This window comes from Homo sapiens, chromosome 9 (assembly GCF_000001405.40).
Source record: "Homo sapiens chromosome 9, GRCh38.p14 Primary Assembly".
Classification (NCBI taxonomy): Eukaryota; Metazoa; Chordata; class Mammalia; order Primates; family Hominidae; genus Homo; species Homo sapiens.
The window spans coordinates 84139857-84159479 of record NC_000009.12 but is presented as its reverse complement, the minus strand read 5'-3'; the positions used below and the strand labels follow the sequence as shown (position 1 = coordinate 84159479).

The window sequence follows — 19623 nt, the reverse complement described above, 5'->3', positions numbered from 1 at the left end:
TGCCCTTTTGTCACCAAAGTCTGCTTATCTTGAGGCTGTCTTGGGGTAGAGATGGCGGTTTTCCTTTAGCTCTTGGGTTTTCTTTGCAGACGTGTAGGTTAGAGGAAGGGAGGTGTGTGTGTCCCACTGCTACCCCATGCCCAGGTTCCTCTCTCTCCTGAGCACCTCTCAACATCACTTTGCCTTTGGAATCAACATCCTTTGCTTGGTTTGGTTTCTAAAGTGAACTTATAAGTTCGGCACAAACATTCCAAGCTTCATCCAAACCAGGCATGAAAAGATTTGAAATGGTTCTTTTCCTGGCACCGTTCTTTTATTTTACCCCTGTCCATAATTAAGTGAATAATAAACTTGGAAAAGATGTAAATTGCTGTCATGGGCGTTCTGCAGCAATTTTCATTCACTCAGAAGTGGGATTAAATAAAAGACCTTGAAAATATAATGCATTTCTCTTTATCTCGTGACGCAGTATAAAAATATCTAAGAGAAGAAGGGCAGAAAATAGAAAAAAAACTGCAGCCAATTATGTAAGAGCCACACTCTCCATTAGGTAGAAGTCTGACCACCAAAGTATTAAACGAAACTACCAGGCAGTGGCTTCTCTTGTGAACTGGACACCAGTTAGATCATTTTTTAACAGCCTCTGCCTCTATATAAGATTATTTTCTGTAATAATCACTATTTTCTGGAGTGGGCTATTTAGTTTTAACTTTTAAAAATTTTTTTAACTTTAAAGATATCTTTTAAAATTAAAGATATTTTAATTTTAAAGATACTATATTTAAAATTCCATAAAATATTTCATGTATGAAATAAAATTTGCATTTGTCAAACAAAAACATTACACCTCACAGTTCACCACTCCATTTCACTGTTTAAAGTGCAAATAAAAATTCTGTGATGTGTGAAATGAATCTCTGTAAAGGACTCCTCAGCCTACCTTTTAATAGAATTGAATAGAAATCTATTTTCTGTGGTTAAGCGTGGGCAACAAGCTTTCCCACCAAAAATGGGCATTTTCCTATACAAATGCTTTTACTCAAAAGTAGTTAAAGTTGTAAATATATCTGCCCCACAATGGATAAGCGTATGGCTCCCTCATTCAACATTAACTGCTGCAATTGTTTAGAACTTAGTGCAACAAATTGTGTGTGTTTGTGTATGTAGGAGTATGTTATCTTTGACATTGTTTATAATTGCCAGCATATGGTAATAATAAAAAGCAGACCAAATTTTAGTTGATTTTGTATTGCTTTTAAGTTCTTCATAAACCATGTGCCTGCTCATTGTCTGTACCTGAGGCAAAGTGCTCCCACAGCTATGCCCCTTTGTATGACACTACCGCCAGGCAAGGGCACAACTGTAATCTGAGGTTATACAAGGAAACTGCCCAGACACAAGGATTCCACTTCTGGTTGAATCTAGACAGAGAAATCAGTAGGGTACCTCACCTCCAGAATATCAGTGAGAACTGGTAAAGTGTTTGTTGGATGAAATTTTTTAAATGATATAAAAAAAAGTCCAGTCCTTTCAGAGGATGATAATTTTTTAAAATGAGATTCTAATTCTCACGTCTTGATTAAATGAAACATGCTTTTTCCAGGTCTTCACTTTCCATTCTGGATTGTAAATATTTGCTGAGTGAACAAACAAATAGATGTTTGGGTGAGTTCATGAGAGGAGAGCTACTATTTATATATCTACTTGAACTCATGTCTCTCAATTTGCTAAAAGAAATGGTAATAGGATTATCTACTCAGAGGGTGCTCCAGAAACAAACAGGTGAACTGAACAGGTAACCAAAAGCTCACCAACAAATTTCAAGTCCAGACCTGGAATTGTGTACATGATATTCAGAACACAGAAAGGCGTCCCAAGTCTAGGATGGCCAACTTTTCAGTAAATGCCAGAGAATGACAAACAGCACCATATCTTGTCCTATAGCCCTCTTTGCTGCCATAAGGAAGAGGGCCAAGAAAGAAAGAGAAATTAACTGAGCCTTTTACTTTGGAAATGCCATGTTAGCCATGAAGACTTAATGTTTCAGATATGTCCTGTGTTCTTTCACTTGACCATAAACTCTAACCCTGGATCATTTACAATCAGTGAGGACAAGCATCTGAATTTAGGATCAACCAAAAGAACCCATTCCAAAGGTTTTCCTCTGCTGCTGTCAGAATACAGGAGTTTTCTCCTTTTTATTCTAATCCTCCCACTAGCAGAGAATAAAGCTTTTTCATTTCTTATTACCTTTATTCTGTTAATCTAACTCTAAGACTCTTTACAAAAGGAAGGAAATTGAGAAGAAACTTATTTCAGAAGAAAAGTTACTCCATAAAAAAAAGACATACACACATACAAAAATAATAAACTCCAAAGGTTTTTTTTGTAATGCATGTGTTTCCTTAAGTTGGGTAGTGGATACACAGGAATTCATCAAATTATTCTCCATAATGTTTTTAATGTCTTAAGTGTTTGATAATAAAGAAATCTGCTCATTGTAATAAATTCAAGTAAGATGAGTTTTTAAAAAGTCAACAAAAAAACTTACCATTCAGAAAAAACTAACATTTGGTGAGTATTATTCTGTGTGTGTGTGTGTGTGTGTGTGTTTGTGTATTAGTAGAAGAATGTATGAATGCCTAAATGGACATAATTTCACACAAATGAAGTCATAATAGAAATGCCATTTATTTATTTATTTATTTTATTTATTTATTTTTGGAGACAGAGTCTCACACTACCACCCAGGCTGAAGTACAGTGGCATGATCTCGAGGCTCACTGCAACCTTCACCTGGTGGGTTCAAGTGATTCTTGTGCCTCAGCCTCCCAAGAAGCTGGGAATACAAGCACATGCCACCACACCCGGCTAATTTTTGTATTTTTAGTAGAGACGGGGTTTCACCATGTTTTCCAGGCTGGTCTTGAACTCCTGGCCTCAAACGATTCACCCACCTCAGTCTCCCAACGTGCTGAGATTACAAGTGTGAGCCACCACACCCAGCCTAGATGCTATTTATTTAAAATATTAACTTAAAATTTTCTTCAGTTAATCAGAAAAAATTAAATTAAAACTGAAGGGGATTTTTTTAGCCACAGGAAAATTATTTACTAAAAGCTTAAAGAGAAAAAATACAAAAAGACCCAAAACATCAGACGCTTCATTTTTTTTTAAATAAAAGTGAATCCCATAGAAAATATCAATTGCCTCAGCAATGAGTGTTGAAAAAAGTGATTACTCTTACACTTCCCATTTCTCATTTTTTTCAGACTATTTCTCTATGATCAAGATTATAACATTTACATCCATCTTTATAACCATAATTCCCATATTTGTTTAATGTCATTCTGTGATTAAATGGATTCCAAGTTCACCAGGCCCTTCGCTATGGCTGTTCTTTTGCTGGGTTCCCATATTTACATCTTCCATGGCTAGATTTCATCGTCACATACTTTTTCAAGTAGAATTCAGTTCTTCTGTCTCTGAAAAAATCTTTGGCCATTACACTTGAATGATAACTTGCCTCAGTATAACATTTTGGGGGTTCACAATTCTTTCTTAGACATTACAACAGATTTTTTTCTGGAATGCAGTGTTGCTGTGGAAACATCTCTGGCCTGATTTTTCTCTTCCTTGTAAATGACTTGCATTTTCTACCTGGATCCATGAGCAATTTATTCTCCATCCTTGAAGCAGACAACTTAACTAAGACATAGTTCAGTGTCAGCCACTCTGTAGCCATTTTTCTTTGAACCTTGTTCAGGAAACTTTCTTCCTCTTATGTCTTTGAAGAGTCTGCACACTTCATTTGTTGGGCTGTGTCCTCTAAGTCCACCAATTATTCTTAAATGTTTGATTATCTTTGTCTGCCTTCAATATGTATCTAATTTCTCTTAAATGTTTCACTCTTGTTTTCCTCTGCAAGCATTGTGATTATTTCAGGCCCTTTCTCTGTCGGTAATTCAGTTTATTGCCGTGTCTGTTCTATTCCCTGATACATCAGATGTAAGTGTCAGGTCTATAATGGTATTGATTTGTTCTTCAGTTTCTTTCTTTAGGTTTTCCATCACTTCTTCTTCTTCCTGTTCTAATGTCCCAGCATCTCATTTCTGAGTTCTTGTTTTGTTGAATTTGTGATCTTATTAAGCTCTTTTATTGAATAAATCTCTCTATTCCGTGAGCTATGGTTTCTTACAGACTCGATTCTCTGGGTGTTCAATGTTATATTCCTTTCATCCTCTCTTATTTTGGGGGGAGCGTGGTATGTTTGCCCAGGGCTTGCTCTGATGTGGTGTGGGTAAATTCTTATCAGCTCTCTTCCCATTGTATTGGAGACCACATTGTGTTCACCTCTGAGCTAGAGTTTGAGGAGACTGTGTCCATGTTTCCGTTACCTGCTCTCCTGGGAGTGGAGGTGAATGGCCAGCTGGATCTATGTGCAGCTTTTTTGGGGGGGATCTGAATTATTTTCTCTCTTCCAACATTTGATTTGATATACAGTCCCAGGCCTTGCTCCACCTAAGTGGGGACATGTTCTATTTCCATAGGGGAATATCCTTCTGCTTCAGATGGATTTCCGGTTTGACACGAAGCGTTAGAACCTAGACTCTGTCAGAGAGAATCAGCCCCTGTTCCTGATGTTCCCCATTTCACTGACATATCTCTCCTCAGTAGCAAGTCCTATTCTTCCAATCCAAAGAGGGAACATAAGCTATTTGTGATTTGGGAGCTTGGTATTTAATAGTTGGGTGAGGGGGTCCTAGAAGAGGTTAGAGGATAGAACCTCACTTACGGTTTTCGAAGCACCTCCCCAGCCACACACAGACACAGATATTCACACCTGCTCTTAGTCCTTTAGAGAGCCTGGCATGTATAAATCCCCCTGGTCTGCTTGTTCAGAGCCTTCAGCCGAATCCTTCCTCTCCAAATTGAGCAACAACACTGGGCATAAGAATTTTCAGTATTTTACTGAGTCATCTGTTTTGGGGGATGTGGACAGAGTTAATAACTGAACAACTCAAAACCTACATTCTTACTGTGTCAGGGTTCCCTAGGCCACCCCCAAGTTCAATGACTTGCTTATGATCTTATTATTTTATTGAATAAAGCCAAGGACACCAGTCCTTTAGGACTCACAGGACTCAGCATATATTTGTACTCATGGCTAAGATTTATTACAGCAAAATCAGCAAAGGGAAAAGGCTAATGGATGAAGTCTGGAGGAAACCAGGAACAAGCTTCCAAGAACCGTCTCCTGGTGGCATTGCACAGGACATGCTTATTTCTTCCAGCAATACCCTGTGGCATGCACTGTCTACCAGGAACACATACCTGAGCCTAAAAGAACAGAGTTTTTATCAAAGATTGGTCACACAGGCACATAGGACCCATATGACTAACTGCAATCCCTGACATTTCATGTTCCCAGAAGGAAGGCAGGTATCCAGCATAAACCACATTGTTTGTATAGTAAGTCAATCTTATCATTTAAGGAAAGTTTTGCATCAGTGTAGGGAAGTTTTTACTAACCCAGTTCCCAGACACCAGCCAAGGACCAACTTTGCAAACAGGCTTTTCTAAGGCCAGCAGTATCAGGCCGGCTATGCCTTTCAGCACACATACCTTGGTCACTATTTTTCAAAATACAACATGAGATGTACATCTATCTGAGTCCATTTAAACTTTAATGTCCCCACTGTTTCTTCCATATACTCTTTATATACTAGAATAATGGGAGAAAAGTCAAGAAAATCTATAAAACTACAGCATGAAGATTGCCGTTAGAGTCACCCTTCCACTTCCTAACTGTCTTAATTCCATCTCCACAACTTCACATTCATTTACTCACATTGTCTTTGACTGAAACAAACAAGAAGAAAAAGAAAAACAGCAAAGCAATAAATTTGAAGTCTATTTTTAAAGTTTTGTAAAATCTCCAGCTCCAAAAGAGGTAAAATCAATTTTAGCTAAATTTGATGCTTTAATCAAATCTCAGACATCCTAATTAACATGTGACATAAAATCTAAATTTACACATGAAATTTCTAGGTAGTCAGATATGCAATAATATGTGCCAATATTACCTCTATAACTTTTCTTAGTTGAGTATAGTTTCACTATTTGAGTAGCCAAGAGGTTGTGTCCAAGCAAAAAACAAAAAAAGAGCTAGAGTGTTTCTTTTTTAAAATCTGGAAGAGATATACTTTGTTTCAATACATCCTACTCAGTTAAATGACTCATATTTTTATGTCATTTGCTTATCCACAAAATAACCTGAGATGTATGTAAGAAAAAAAGATGTATGTATAGTTTCACTATTTGAGTAGCCAAGAGGTTGTGTCCAAGCAAAAAACAAAAAAAGAGCTAGAGTGTTTCTTTTTTAAAATCTGGAAGAGATATACTTTGTTTCAATACTTCCTACTCAGTTAAATGACTCAAAATACTTTTATGTCATTTGCTTATCCACAAAATAACCTGAGATGTATGTAAGAAAAAAAAAGCCTCTCCCTGTTAAGTCATTACCTACATATTTTTAAAGTATCTTATCCTCAAAATGACTGTGATACTTCTACTCTAGAAGCTGATATGATATATATATTTATATATAAATATTAGTATATATTATATATATATATATATATATATATATATATATACTTTTAAATCTTCCTGGGGGGGAGAGAAAGAAAAAATATTTAATTTATGGCATCTAAATATTAGAGATCAAATACACATAAATAGAGCAAATCAGGTGTACCAATATCTGCATGGTGTACATAAATGGAAATGTATGCATATTCACGCATTTCACCAATTATTTCAAACCTTAAGGTGAGATTCTAGTTCCAGAACAGCAACTGGCTAACCTGAAAAAATTTAATAACCACTCAGTAATGAGGAATTAGATATGGTCCCTTTACCACACCACCCACATCTCTGTAACTTCTTAAACCATTTCACAAACAGGTCTCCAAAACCTTCTATTTGCTCTCATAGAAACCAGTGGTCATTGGTTCTGAGATATATACAAAGGGCCAAAGGTAAAAGGCTGAATAACTGATTCTTACTAGAGAAAGGAAATATTACTCAGCTTGAATTTCCTCCTCTTCTTCCTGCAAATTGAAATTCTTGCTCTAATCAGGATGTTTCCAAACACATACGAAATGGACAAAAAGGGAGAGGAAATTAAGTATCCCAGGATGTGCTGTAGGCATGTAATGAGACCCACAGCAGTTTCTAGGACCCAGTGATCACCTTGCTATCACATATTTGCTCTTATTGTAACACATTTTCTCCTAACTAGTTACAATAAAATTAATAGAACTAAAATGCTCATCTCTGTTTTCCTTTGCCCTCCATTTTTCCCTTTCTCTTTTTGCTTTTTTATAAGCTCAGAGAGTTATAGAAAAGGGGGTTGCTTTGGTTACCATTAAATCAATCTCACCTCATATCCTTTCACAAGTATAAAATGAATTCTGAGTGATTCTGATTATAGCAACTGTACCCTAGCCCTGATCAAACCTAATTACAATTTGATGCAGGGCCCCATCATTGTTGCATCTAGGTAATGGAGCCTGTATTCCAGCCAGCAGTGCCTCGTTAATGAATAGGAGAGATGAGAGGCCTACACATTGTCTCCAGTGACCTCTTCTGCATCGTAGAGAGCGAACTGCATTGATAAACACACTAAGATGGGTTATTATCCATTATTCAGTTTTACAATTAGCGAACACCTGGCACCAGGGCAGCCAGGAGCTCTTTGCTTCCCATTTGTATCTATGCAAGCGCCAACTCTGACACAATATAGTATGCCAATTTCCCTTCATTAAAGGAAAGAACTTGTAAAGAAAGGGCTGAGGGAGGCTTAGGGAGGTGCTGTTGCTGTTTTTAAGTCTCCTTACTGTTTGAAAGAGACAGATATTGGCAGAAATCCTGTTAGAGATGGCTTTGAGAGGGGTGGCCTTTTAAATATTGTCCTTTTGTGTTAAGAAGAACTTAGAGACCAGTGAGCTCCCCACCAGTTCCTGAAGGCCATTGCGTGTCCAGATTAACAAGACAATGAGGAGCCACAAAGAACAAAGAAATGCAGCGTTGCCGTCTTCGAACCTGTAGAAAAGGAAAACCCATTGCATTTTGTTGAGTCCTGGCTACCTATGGACTTTCGGTTCTCTTCTGACTTTACAAATCTTTATTTCCAACACTCAATTCCCTTTAAGGAAAGCTGCCTGTCTTTGGTGGCAAATACATTTCAGATGTTTTTATCTTTATGTGAGTTATTTAATTTATGATCATTCTTTTAAAAGAAAAAAAATATCCAGTGAAGATTTTTTTTTTGCCAGCAGCAGTTAACAGGCAAGTTTTGAGCCTCCAGGACAGATGACTTCTATATTTGAGATGTCACTAGACGCATTTTCCATATCCTAACAACTTCATAAGCTGTGGGGGAAGGTAGGAGAATGAGAAAGGGAGAGGGATCACAAGGTAGTGGGGCGTGTGGCCTTCATGTATGCTTTTAAAGCAATTTGGAGCCTCTAAAGTCAGCTTAAACTGGGGTTCCCAGGAATCCCTGGAAAAACTGGCTGCCCTTCCAAACTCACCAAAGAACAAACTGGAATCACAAAAGGCAATTTGGATTAACATCTGAAGATGGAATATTGAGTTTACAGGTTCTCTACCAGAAACACACCATGGCTCATAGGCATTATTGGCAGCCTTTGAGCCCAGGGGCTTGTTTGGAAATGACAGCCTCAGCCACCACATAGGTCCCTCAGCAGCCAGTGCTCAAGGCCCTGCTCACATTCTTCCCTACCTCTCATCTCTTTCCAGCACCTAAAAAACAAGATGAACACCACAAAACACAACAAAAAAGGATGGTTGCCTTCCGAGAAGTGTGCAAGGGCCTTCAGTTTTACAGTTACAATAATGAAAGAAGACATGGTCTCACCAAAGCTTGAGTTGGCACCCAGGGATTTCCTCAAGTCTACACAAATATGGGTGGCTTAGTCAAAGACTTGCCAGCTTCCATTATTCTATTATTGTGTCTTTTTTTAAGTTTATTTTTTATTTTTATCTATTTAAGGGATAAAATTATAGATTTCTCTTTTTTGTTTTGTTTTGTTTTTTGAGATAGAGTCTCACTCTGTTACCCAGGCTGGAGTAGAGTGGCGTGATCTCAGGTCACTGCAGCCTCTGCCTCCCAGGTTCAAGCAATTCTCCTGCCTCAGCCTCCCGAATGGCTGAGATTACAGGCACACGCCACCATGCCTGGCTAATTTTTGTATTTTTAGTAGAGATGGGGTTTCACCTTGTTGGCCAGGCTGGTCTCGAACTCCTGACCTCAGGTGATCCGCCCACCTCAGCCTCCCAGAGTGCTGGGATTACAGGTGTGAGCCACCGCGCCCAGCCACAAGTATAGGTTTCTTACATGCATATATTGTGTAGTGATGAAGTCTGGGCTTTTTGAAGTCTGGATGATTACCTCTCAGGTAATTTTTCAAACTTCACCTCTCCCCTGCCCTTCCACATTTTGTAGTCCCCAGTGTCTATTATTCTACTCTGTACATGTATGTGCACTCAACGTTTAGCTCCCACTTACACGTGAGAATGTGAAGAATTTGACTATTTCTGAGTTATTTCACTTAGGATAATGTCCTCCAGTTGCATCCATGTTTCTGCAAAAGATATTGTTTCATCCTATTTTATGGCTAAGTAGTATTCCGTAGTATGTATATACCACATTTTCTTCATCCTATCCTCGGTTGACAAATACTCAGCTTGATTCCATATCTTGGCTATTGTGAGTTGTGCTGCAATTAACATGGACGTGCAGAAATCTCTTCAATATATGGATTTCCTTTCTTCTGTGTATATACTCAGCAGTGAGATTGCTAGATTATGTGGCCTATTTTTTGTTTTTTGAGGAACTTCCATATAGTTTTCCATGATACTGGTACTAATTTACATTCCCACCAAGTATATACTAACATTCTCCTTTTTCCACATCTTCATCAGCATTTGTTATTATATTTTTGATAATAGCACTCCCATGTTTTAGTACTATTCACAATAGCCAAGATATGGAATCAAGCTAAGTGTCCATCAGTAGATGAATGGATAAAGAAAATGTGGTATATCTTCACAATGGAATATTATTCAGCCATAAAATGAATAAAACCCGATTATTTGCAGCAACATGGATGACCTGGAGGACATTACATTAAGTGAAAATAAGTCAGGCACAGAAAAACAAATATCACATGTTCTCATCTATATGTAGGAGCTTAAAAAGCTGATCTCAGGGAGGAAGCAATGATAGATGCCAGGGCCTGGGAAGGGTAGCAGGAAGGAAAGGATGAAGAGAGGTTGGTTAATGGGTACAAAAATACAGTTAGAAAGAAGGAATATGGTTTAATGTTCAAGAGCACAGTGGGATGACTATAGTTATCAATAATTTATTGTATATTTCAAAATAGCTAGAAGAGATTTAGGATGTTCTCAACATAAAGAAATGATAAATATTTGAGGTGATGGATACCCCAATTACCTTGATTTGATCTTACACATTGTATGCATGTATCAAAATATCTCATATACTCTATAAATATGTACAATTATTATGTATTAATTGTTTTTAATTCCATGAAGCCATCACTTTTCAACCATCAAACTAGCAAAGTTGTTTTGCAAGAGTTTGATGGGTTGAGCACCCTCATACATTGCCAGGCTGGGTGGGTGGCTCACGCCTGTAATCCCAGCACTTTGGGAGGCCGAGGTGGGTGGATCACCTGAGGTCAGGAGTTTGAGACCAGCCTGGCCAACACGGTGAAACCCCTTCTGTACTAAAAATACAAAAAATTAGCTAGGCGTGGTAGTGGGTGCCTGTAATCCCAGCTACTCGGTAGGCTGAAGCAGGAGAATTGCTTGAACCCAGGAGGTGGAGGTTGCAGTGAGCCGAGATTGCACCTTTGTACTCCAGCCTGGGCAACAAGAATAAAACTCCCTCTCAAAAATAAATAAATAAATAAATAATAAAAATAAAAATGCATTTAGAAATACCAATACAGTTAGAAAGTAAAACTATCCAGTAATTTCTCCTAGAATTATGAAACTCAACCTTTAGTGTGCCTATAAATCTCAGGAGCTCTTTTTCCAAGGCAGATTTTTGGCCCCTGACTGCAGAGATTCAGATAGTGCAGGTCTGGGTTAGGACCCTGATGTGCATTAATGCCTGGTTATGGTGGAGGTGGCTAAGGTGTCACACCATAGCAAGAGCTGCTCTAAAGAAATCTCTTCCAAGGAAGCAATCAGGAATGTGGAGAAACATTTATATGCAAAGCTCTTTTCAGCTCTTCTTTATAGTGTTGAGAAATTGTAAACAACCTATATTGACATAGATAAGGACACAGAATGTAATTATGATATATTCTTAGATTATTATACAGCCATTAAAAATGATCTTGGGGGGGGGATATTTAACAATGCAGGAAGATGCTAAATGAAAGAAATCAAGACGCAAAACTATGAATACACCAGCTATATTACTTGAAAACAACTACATCAAACCACTAGTAGTGGCTATGTCTGGGTAGTGGGATTCTGAGTCATATTATCTAGGTGCCACTTTTTATTTTCTGAGTTTGAAACAATGACAAGTACTGCTTTCATGATCCAAAAATAAATAAACTTTAAAAAAATAAAGAAGTCATAAATCTCTTCTCTGTTTCCAGCCAGAAATATACCCAAATCATTCCATACATAGCTGCCCCATCTGCTCTTTTTTAGGCCCAATTAAGGAAATCTTCTAGAATTAGACAGTTGTCATTTATGTCAAGCCTATGCTGTCCCTGTTGAAATGTAAATCTGCTTCCTTTATGGACTCGGAGACCAGTTGTTTTCTTACTTCCTGAAAGGGTTGTTCACAATGCTGCCCAAGCTGGTTTGTGTCTATTTATGTCCCGAAGGTCTCCTGGGAAGGAAATGTGTAAACTATCATTGACAAGGAAATGCTGAGGGAGAAGGCTAGTGATTGTGACCATCTAAAAGGGATAAATTCTGGTTTCTGGGGAAGGATGACTGTGAGGGCCAAGGAAGGCATTTTCCAGATAAAGGCCTACTCAATAGACTTTTGGAAGCAATTAATGAGTACCATTTGAAAACATTTGCCTAAAATTCTTCCCCAAGCACGAATTGCAAGGCAATCCCCTAAATCTTACAAAACAATTATAAAAGAATGCTTCTTAAGAAAAACAAAATTTAATGGCCAAGGCCTGACATCTCTCACAGGGAATATGCAATAAAAGCTACTATTGTGGGCAGAGTATCTCTTTCATCCATCTTTTCTTCTTCCTTCCCAGTGCTCAGGCCCTCATCACCCCACACGGCTCAGGTCCTAACTAGTCCTTTTGTTGCCAGTCCTAGGTCCCTGATTTGGTTGTCGCAGTCTTTTGCTCAAAAGCTTTAACAGGAAGTTACTACATTTGGGAAAAAAAACTCAGTGGACCTAAAAATAGATGTTCAAAAGCATGTGGGGAATCCAAAGAGCCTGCCCTATTTCTAGTAGCCAGCCTGTCCGTTTTTCATTCAACACCCATCTCAATACCACTAATAATCCAGTTTTATTTATCTGGGTGTGTCTGGCTTCAGTCCAACACTCAGCACACAGGAGGCACCTAGCATACATTTATTCAAGGAATAGAACTGACCGCCAGTTCCTCTGATGATGGTGAGCCCCCTCGTATGATCCCCATCCCATGTTTTCCAAATAGAAGGAACTTAATCTCTATTGGTCAGATTTGTCTGCCCTTGTATCCATTATTCATTCAATAGCAACAAATGTTTATTGAGCAAATCCTTGGTGTCAGGTATTGGAGATAGAGCAGTGAACAAAATAGACATAGCTCCTGTGTTCACAGAAGTTACACTGTAGTCAGAGGTGATGGGGCAATTAATCAAATAATTGCTTAATTGGCTTTTAAATTATGCTTTTGGATACAGATAAGCACTATGATGAAAATAAAAGTGGGTTCTGTGATACAGCCTAAGCAGCAAGGACAATCATAGCTGGTCAGGGCAGGTTTTTCTGAGGAAGTGACATTTGAACTAAGGCCTGAATGATGAGACCTAGGAAACACTCATCCATGTAGCTTCTCTATAGTTGCAACTTTTTTAATTGAGGCAAAATGTATATTGAGGAAAATGCACGTATCTTAAATTGATAATTGAATGCGTTTTGCTAAATGTACACACCTGTGCAATCCACCATCAAGATAAAAAAAAATTTGCATTACCCCAGAAAGTTATCTTTTTTCCAGTTTTATTGAGGCTTGCTTAACAAATAAAAATTATATATATTCAAGGAGTACAGTGTGCTGTTTTGATTACCCCAGAAAGTTCCTGCATCTGCTTCCCAGTCATTCCCTGCCCCACTCTCAGGGCACCCACTGTTGTGACTTTTATCATCGTAGCTTAGTGTTGCCTCTACGTTAACTTTATAAAGTGGAATCATGCAGGATGTGCCCTTTGTTCCTAGCTTCCTCCTTCAGTATAATGTGCTTGAGACCTATCCATGTTGTTATATATATCAGTAATTTGCTCTTTTTGTTGCTGAGCCATATTCCATTATAAAACTAAACCACAATTTGTTAATTCATTCTCTTATTGACAGTTATGCAGGTTGTCTTCAGATTTTGGCAATTATTCATAAAGCTGCCATAAATATTCTTTGTTTTTCTTTTGAGACAGAGTTTCGCTCTTGTTGCCCAGGCTGCAGTGCAATGGTGTAGTCTCAGCACACTGCAACCTCTGTTCCCAGGTTCAAGCAATTCTCCTACCTCAGCCTCCCATGTAGCTGGGATTACAGGTGCCCACTACCACGCTAGGCTAATTTTTGTATTTTTAGCAGAGACGAGGTTTCACCATGTTGGTCATTCTGGTCTCAAACTCCTGACGTCAGGTGATCCACCTGCCTCAGCCTCCCAAAGTGCTGGGATTACAGGCGTGAGCACCCAGCCTTTCCTGCCATAAATTTCTTATACAAATTTCTTATATAGTCTTGCTATAGATGTATTATTTTATTTCTCTTGGGTAAATATCTAGGAGTAGAGTTGCTGGCTCATAGGTAGGTGTATGTATAACTTTTTTAAACAGGCAGACAAAAGGCTTTCCAAAGTCATTAATAACACACCCTGTTCCCACCTGCAAATTATGAGAATTCCAGTTGCTCCACATATTTGCCAACGTTTGTGTTGTCTGACTAATTTTAGCTACTTTTAAAATGTGGTCACTCACTGTGATTTTTAATTTGCATTTCCTGATGACTGATAACGTTGAACACCTTTCATATGCTTAGTGGCCATTCTTATTAGTTTGTTTACAGAGTGTCTGTTCATGTCTTTTGCCTATTTTTTTTATTACATGGTTTTTATTTTGTTACGGATTTGTAGAAATTTTTAATATATGTGGATAAATGTCCTTTCTCAGATATGTCTCCACCCCCACATCCACCATATGTGGCTTGCCTTTCATTTTCTTAATGGTACTTTTGATAAGCAGAATTTGTAAAATTTTCACGATGTCCAATACATCAATTTTTTTTATGTTTGGTGATTTCTGTGTCTTCTCCAAGAAATGTTTACCTACCCAAGTTTGAGAAGACTTTATTTTTATTTCATGAAAACTTCATAGTTGTAGTTTTTCCACTTAGTCTCTGATCCATCTTGAACTAATTTTTGTGTGTGGTATGAGATAGGGATTAATATTCATATTTTCATATATTTATCCTGTTGTTCCAACATCATTTGTGAGAAGATTATTCTTTCTCTACTGAATTACCTTGGCACCTTTGTAAAGCTCAATTAGCCACATACGCATGGGTCTATTTCTAAACTCTATTCTGTTACATTGATTCATATGTGTATTCTTACACCAATATCACACTTAATTACAAAGTTAGAGAATACTTTGAAATCTGGTAATGTGAGACTTCTAACTTTTTTTTTTTTTGAGACAGGGTCTCATTTTTTCACCCACGCTGGACTGCAGTGGTGCAATCTTGCCTCATTGAAGCCTCGAACACCTGGGCTCAAGCAATCTTCCCACCTCAGCCTCCTGAGTAGCTGGGACTAAAGGCATATGCCACCACACCTGGCTAATTTTTTTTTTTAATTTTCTGTAGAGATAGGGTCTCACTATTTTGCCCAGGCTGGTCTCAAACTCCTGGGCTCAAGCTGTCTGCCCACCTCAGCCTCCCAAAGTGTTGGGATTACAGGCATGAGCCACTGCACTTGGACAAGTCCTCTAACTTATTTTTTCTTTTACAAGATTGTTTTGGATATTCTAAGTTGTTGAATTCTTACATAAATTTTAGAGCATCACTTCCGCTGTACTGTATTGGTCAAAGCATTCATAGAGCAGCCCAGATTCAAGGGGGCAGAGAGGAAACGAATCTGTCTCCTAATGGAGGGATGGCATGAATACACAGAGAGGGAAGGAATTGATGGTAACTACTTTTCAGACATTCTGCCATCTAGCCACAATAATTTGCATCCCTGCCAAAAGTCAAATACACTAACCCCCTTCAAAGATCTCCAAAATCTCATCTCATTATAGCATCAACTCAAAGTCCATGACCTCATCGCCTGAGCCCCAATGAAGGCAGAACTGCTCAGGTGCAACTCCTTGAGTACAGTTTTGCTCATTAGAACTATGATCTACATGACAAGTTATCTGCTTCCCAAACTCCCAACTTACAATGTTGCTGCAAGGAAAGATAACCACAACAGACACCAATGTTCAGAAAGGAGGGAAATAGGCCCACAGCAGTCACTGGTCCATAGAAAGTAGCCATATGAAATTAACTCTCTGTGCCCTCCTGCCATTTCCCACACACACAGGCCCCAAATGCTTGTGGCCAACCTAGAGCAGAGCTTTACAATGAGTGTGCCACAGTGGGAGCCACGACCGTGTCACAGGGTGCTGCTGGCCACCTCCAACTTGGGGCACCTAGTCTAGTGTTTCTCAAAGGGCAGCCCCAGGGAAGTGGGCCCTGGTGGGGGAAGTACAATGAATGACACAGAGACACGCAGACTTCTTGTCCCATTGTAATAGGATGTGAGAAACCAAAGAGATGCCCTCTCACCTGGCTCAGCAGCCCCTTACAGCACACCTCTGTCCCCAGGGGCAGGGGCTGCTGCAGCCGCTGGGGAATAGGCGGCAGGTCTGGGAAGGCTAAGCTGAGGCTACTGGCACACCCGTCAGGTATGGCCCCAGGCTTTGTCTTCACATTGCCTATACTTCTACCCATTTTTGGCTCCCGTGCCCTCTTCTTCATGGTGCCTGAGCACTAACAGAGCTTCATCATTATCTTGAAAAACTTGCTATGAAAAATTTCTATCAGACTTGAAATCCATTCACACTACCACAAGAAATTCCAGTAACATATTTGTCAATGAAAGCAAAGAATGAGCTGTTAGATTCCTTAAATAAAATTTTAATTGTAAATTTTAGAATGGTTTAAACATTAAACCATTAGATTTAAATAAATTAAACATTTTAAATCCCTGGCTTGTGCAAAGTATAAATAGTGACTACTGACACCTTGAAAAGATTGCCATAAAAAAAAATCTTCATCAGGATTTCCTCACAGATATTTTAAGATTATAAATTAATATTACAGCTATGTTCTTATTCAGCAATAAAAATGAATGAGGTACAGATACATGCTACAACATGGATGAACCTTGACAACATTACACTAAGAAGCCAGACACAAGAGACCATGTATTGTATTATTCCGTTTATGTAAAATGTCCAGAATAGGCAAATCTGAAGAAACAGAAAGGAGACTAGTAGTTGCCCAGGGCTGGGGGATGGAGGGAATGTGAGTGATTGCCAATAGATACAATTTTTCTTTCCGGGGTGATAAAGTGTTCTAAAATTGACTGTGGTGATGGACACATAACTGTGAATATACTAAAAACCATTAAATTCAGGAGACTGAGGCAGGAGAATCGCTTGAACCTGGGTAGCAGAATTTGCAGTGAGCCGAGATCACGCTACTGCACTCCAGCCTGGGCCGCAGAGTAAGACTCTATCTCAAAAGCAAACAAACAAACAAAAATCATTAAATTGTATACTTTAAATGAGTGAGTTGTATGGTGGGGGTATTCGTTTTCTGTGGCTACTGCAACAATTTACCACAAACGTGATTGCTTAAAACAACAAAAATTTATTCTCTCACAGTTCTGGAGGCCAGAAGCCCCACGGCAGCATCAAGGTGCTGGCAGGGCCCCTCCCGCCTCTTCCACCTTCTGGTGTCTGCTGTCAATTCCAGGCTTATAGCTGTGTCATTCCAATCAGACAGCATCTTCCAATCTCTCAGCTCCGTCTTCACAAAGCCTTCAGTGTGTATCAAATCTCCCTCTTGAAGGACACAGGTGACTGCACTTAGGGCTTACTCTTGTAATACAGGATAATATTCCCATCTCAAGATTCTTAACTTTATTATGCTGTAAAAACCCTATTTCCATATAAGGTAATAGTCACAGGTTCCAGGGATTGGAATCTGATATCTTAGGGAGTGGAGGGATCATTTTTCAGCCTGCAAGAGTATGTGAATTACATCTCAATAAAGCTATTTTTAAAAACAGGCACAGTATAATATATAAATTAGTATACATTTAAAAAGTTATATTCATGTTATAGATTCAAGAAGATTTGAAAGACATACCAATCGATCGAAAACTTTGTTTTGATCTTGAATTGACCCAAACGGATCAACAGTAAAAGACATTTTATTGAGGCAAATGAAAAAAATTGAACATGAACTGGATGCCAGATAATACTGAGAAATTATTTTTAATTTATTGGAACTGAGAATGGTATTTTGGTTATTTTTAAAGTCCTATCTGTTAGAGATTTGCATTTTAGTGTTTTCAGATGAAATGAAGTGATTCCTGGGATGTGCTTTTAAATATTCTAGGAAAAAAAAAAAAGGAGGATGAGGTAGATGAAATCTGAAAGGCAAATGTGGATAGCCGTTTAATCTGGGTCCTGGCTATGCGCAAGAGGCGAGCTGGTCATTATGCCATTCTCTTTATTTGTATCTGTTTGAAATTTTTCCATAATAAAAGTTACATTCGTGGAAACAAGCTCAATTTTCTCATTTAAAATTTTGAGCAGATTTTATTTGGAAGTTTAAAACACATACAATTTCTTCTAATACTTCATACATATTTTCTTATAATTCTATAACATTAAAAACTGCATTTAATTTTTAAATAAACCTCACAGAGACGCTCTGAAATCCCCTCCAGTTTTACCCCAAATGCTCTTGAAATCAGGTCATTTTCTGTGTGCCCTGACGGAAAAGGTTGGAAAGGCTCGCCCTAGAGAAGCTGATTTTTTGCGAAGGGCGGATAAATACAGGTTTTCAAAATCTTCCGTTTCCGAAAATGCGCAGGGCGCTCGCTCTCTTCCTCTTCAGCATCTTTTAAAGCGCTTTCAGAAAACAAAACGCTTGCGATTGAAGCAGCGCCCGCAGCTGCAGCGCGGGTTTCAAATGCCCCACTATTTTGAAAGAAGACCCGCACACACGCTCTTTGTGTTCTTTTTTGTTTGTTTGTTTCCCAAAGGAAAAGCTAAATCCACCCCAGTGTTTTCATACATTGAAAATGAAAGGCTTGGGGGCTGCCATCGAGCCGACGGAAGAAGACATTTGGCAGAGAAGGCCCCTTCGGGGCTTTCGTTTCCCCCAAACCCCAGTCAATTCGCACCGTGCCTGCCGGGACGCGGCCATCATCGGGGACTTGAGCGAGGACGCGAAGCCGTGCCCGTCCTGGCGGGGCCGCTTTGCCTGGGGAGCCAGGTGTAGGGTGCAGAGTGCTGGGGGCGGACCGGCGTGGAGGGCGTGGAGACGGCAGGTGTCTGCGGCTCCTTTGCAGCCATAAAATCGACCGGGGCTGCAGCCGGCTGGGGCGCACCCCCTCTCCAGACCCCCGGATGCACCCCGCAACCATGCTGCCCATCATTCCTCCCCTGGTGCTTAAGTATTTGCTTACCTCTGAATTTGGTTGTTGGTTGGCTGTTTGACTCACAAAGTAAAAAAGTTTCAAAGAGAACCAGAAAGGTATCCCTGGAAATTCCGTCTCTCAAGGTCCCAAGCCTAGCTTTCCCATGGAGGAAACCAGCGCTACCAGGCTCTTTGTCACCCTTCTAGATATTTCTATGCCTATACACATGTGTATACACATGTATTCAAGTAATCACACACATTCTGCCCCCACTTCCAAATGCTTGCACCACACACACGCTGAATGTTCTTAACATCTTGTGTGTCTTACCTTGTATTTTTACCCTCAAGTTTGTATTGTGGAGATTATACCCTCTCAATATAGAAAGGGATGGCTTGCATTGGGTTTTGATTATTCAATGCTTTTTTAAGGCTATGTATTTCCCAGTATGGATGTATCATAATTTATGTAAGCAATTCCATATTGATGTGTATTTGAGTTGTTTCCAGAGTCGTGCTATTCCAAGCAAAGCTGCCATAGATTTTGCAAACCCTCCAAGCTTTTATGCAAGACTACTCTAGTTTCCTTTAAAAGAAAGACATACACACCATGC

The 19623-nt window shown here is 39.1% G+C and overlaps 1 annotated feature.

The window, feature by feature from the left end:
• Window positions 7388-8324: an enhancer, noted in NCBI's record as "OCT4-NANOG hESC enhancer chr9:86766071-86767007 (GRCh37/hg19 assembly coordinates)". NCBI's record gives its function as "activates a minimal SCP1, AML or CMV promoter by ChIP-STARR-seq in naive and primed H9 embryonic stem cells {active_cell/tissue: H9 hESC(naive and primed)}" and the evidence as "EXISTENCE:reporter gene assay evidence [ECO:0000049][PMID:30033119]".